Source organism: Homo sapiens, chromosome 2 (genome assembly GCF_000001405.40).
Source record: "Homo sapiens chromosome 2, GRCh38.p14 Primary Assembly".
NCBI classification, from domain to species: Eukaryota; Metazoa; Chordata; class Mammalia; order Primates; family Hominidae; genus Homo; species Homo sapiens.
The window spans coordinates 120323519-120326228 of record NC_000002.12 but is presented as its reverse complement, the minus strand read 5'-3'; the positions used below and the strand labels follow the sequence as shown (position 1 = coordinate 120326228).

The 2710-nt window shown below is 53.0% G+C and overlaps 1 annotated feature.

Moving 5' to 3' along the window:
• Window positions 570-1070: an enhancer, noted in NCBI's record as "H3K4me1 hESC enhancer chr2:121082735-121083235 (GRCh37/hg19 assembly coordinates)". NCBI's record gives its function as "activates a minimal SCP1, AML or CMV promoter by ChIP-STARR-seq in primed H9 embryonic stem cells {active_cell/tissue: H9 hESC(primed)}" and the evidence as "EXISTENCE:reporter gene assay evidence [ECO:0000049][PMID:30033119]".

The window sequence follows — 2710 nt, the reverse complement described above, 5'->3', positions numbered from 1 at the left end:
AAACAGTGGCTGGGCGTGGAGTGGCCTGAACTCAGCTACTGGTGGCACCACACTTAAAGATATGTTGAAGTCTGTGACTGCTCCAGGTGTAGACAACCTTGGAATCCATCCCAAGTGAATTCATCTCCACTGCTGCCTGTACTTGTCCCACCCACACGCTTGCATCTTCAGAGAGCCCTCCTCGCTCTACTTTTCCTCAGCCATCAAGGTGTTTGGGCGTCTGTCACCGGGACAGGCTCTGAGCCTGGCATGAATCTAAGAGAAAGCAGATATTTATAAGCCAGAGTCTTAAAGAAGTTGGGTTTAGATGCAAAGGAAATTTGTGCCGTGTGAAGAAGGGATAACAACCCAACGAGGAGTCAACATTGCCTGATCCACGGCCGCTTGACTTTCCATCCATGGGTTTTTCAGTTTTTGTCTTTCTAAGCTCTTCATAGGAATCCAAAGTGGGGGCCGGGTGCAGTGGCTCACACCTATAATCCCAGCACTTTGGGAGGCCTAGGTGGGTGGATCACCTGAGGTCAGGAGTTCAAGACCAGCCTGGGCAACATGGTGAAACCCCGTCTCTACTAAAAATACAAAAATTAGCCAGGTGCGGTGGCACGTACCTGTAATCCCAGCTGCTCGGGAGGCTGAGGCAGGAGAATTGCTTGAGCCCGGGAGGCAGAGTTTGCAGTGAGCTGAGACTGTGCCATAGCACTCCAGCCTGGGCAACAGAGAGAAATTCAGTCTCAAAAAAAAACAAAAAAAAAAAACAAAAAAAAACCAAAAAAACAAACAAAGCAAGAGAGAGAGAGGGAGAGAAAGAAAGCAAGAAAGATCCAAAGTGAGGAACAACAAGGGGTGTCTCAGGACTGCCCTCCAAGCCTAGTAACTCGGGGAATGACATCAATCATACCTTCATGCCTCACCCACCCTTGGAAAGATGGGTGGGATTAGGAGCCAAGGCATTCAGTATGAGGGGCCTGGCCCCATCAGAGCAGCCGACGCTGGGCCCCTCCCAGGCCTCAGCTTGCTCATCTGCGCAAGGCGGGCTGCACCTGCCCTTCTCCCTGCACAACAGCTGTTGTGAGGCTGAGAGAGCAGGGCACACCGAGCGTTCCCCAGCACCAGCCACGATGGTCCATGCTTAAACTGGAGATTACATGGGATCCAGTGGTCAAGTTGCCCTGGGTCACCCCAGCAGGTGAGTGGCAATCCCCAAAATAATACTCTGGTGTCTGTGACCCCAGGGCCAGACTGTCCTTGACAGCTGGTTAGAGGAAGTTGTTGGTCAGTTGGAGACAGGGCAGGTGTTGGCCCTTGGGCACGTACAGGACTTTCTGCAAACCTATGGGTGCTCTTCTTCTGAGAGTGCCTCAACAATTTCTTATTTTTGTTATTTTTTTTTTATCTTCTCAATGGGCCTGGCCCAGGAGTTTCGGGCTTTTATTAAGCAGTGGAAGTGCATTGGAAACACAAGGCGCTGACCTCCTCACCCTGCCCACACTGGTAGCAGAGTAACAACTGGGTCTCCAGAGACACCTGAGGGCCCGCCTTCCAGCCCTCAGGCAGAAGACCTAAAAGCTGTGTGGAATATTCCCCCATCACGACCTTGGTCTGGACGCAGCTCCAGGGTCGCCCTTCCTAAGGCAACGTCACCCTGACCTGGCCCCATGGGCGACTTAAAGGTAACTCCTGGGGAGGGGGTCTTGCTCACTAAGGCTTTTGCAGCCTGTGCCTCTGCAGTGGATGAAGAGTTTCCAATGGCCTAATTTTCTCCCAGGGAGTAAAACTGAAGGTCTGGAAGAAGAGCTCACTGTTTATAAATGTCCTAGAAATAAAAGAGCTTAAACATGAGGGATAAAAACATGGTTCAGTATCTTGGGGTTCTTCATCAGATTAGCGAGGCCCTAGAGCAGAAAACCACGGCTGACCTGAAGGACTGATAAAGCCGTGGTGGCTTCCTGCATTCCTCGTGGCCACAAGCCCTGGACTTATCACACCAGGCTTCCCTCCAGCAGGTCCCAAGAGCTCCGCAAGAGAAATGAGGGAGATAGCTACTGGGCACTGGACACCTGCTGTGTGCCCTCGGGGCTGACAGACTTCTCATATTTGATTTTCATCACCCCATTAAAGTTGGCACTATCACATTTTATAAGTGAACCCTGAGCCTCCAGAAGGTTTAGCAATTGCCAGTCAACAGCTCCTGGGTGGCAAGGCCAGGACAGGAATCCAGGTCTGCCCAAGCCCACAGCCCACGCCCTTCCCTTTCTGGGCACTACGTCTGGGCACATGGTGCCCCCACAAGCACTCAGCACCCAGGTCAGTCAGGAGAGAGAGGTGGGGTGGAGGACGGTGAGGAGCAGGGAGGCAGCTGGTCAGCCACTTAGAAGGCTTAATTAAGCAGAGAGACAAGGAGGGCTTGCCCCACGACAGAGACTCCGTACACATGGGGAGGTGGGCTTGGGAGACCTCAAGGAGACAGAACTAACAGGGACGGGGCAGCTGGCTGACTTATACCTGTCCTCCCTGGCACCCCAAAATATAGTAGGCTGTGGGGACCGGGCCACAAGGAACAGACCCAGAAGACAAGGTGATGTTGCTGTTGTTTGGCATGAAGGCGGCAGCTACTACATATTCCGGAAGGAGAGGCCGTGGAGGAGGAGGGGAGGCCCAGGCAGGAGCCCGGGGAATACATTTCCCCTCTACCCTGCCACGGAGGCTGGCC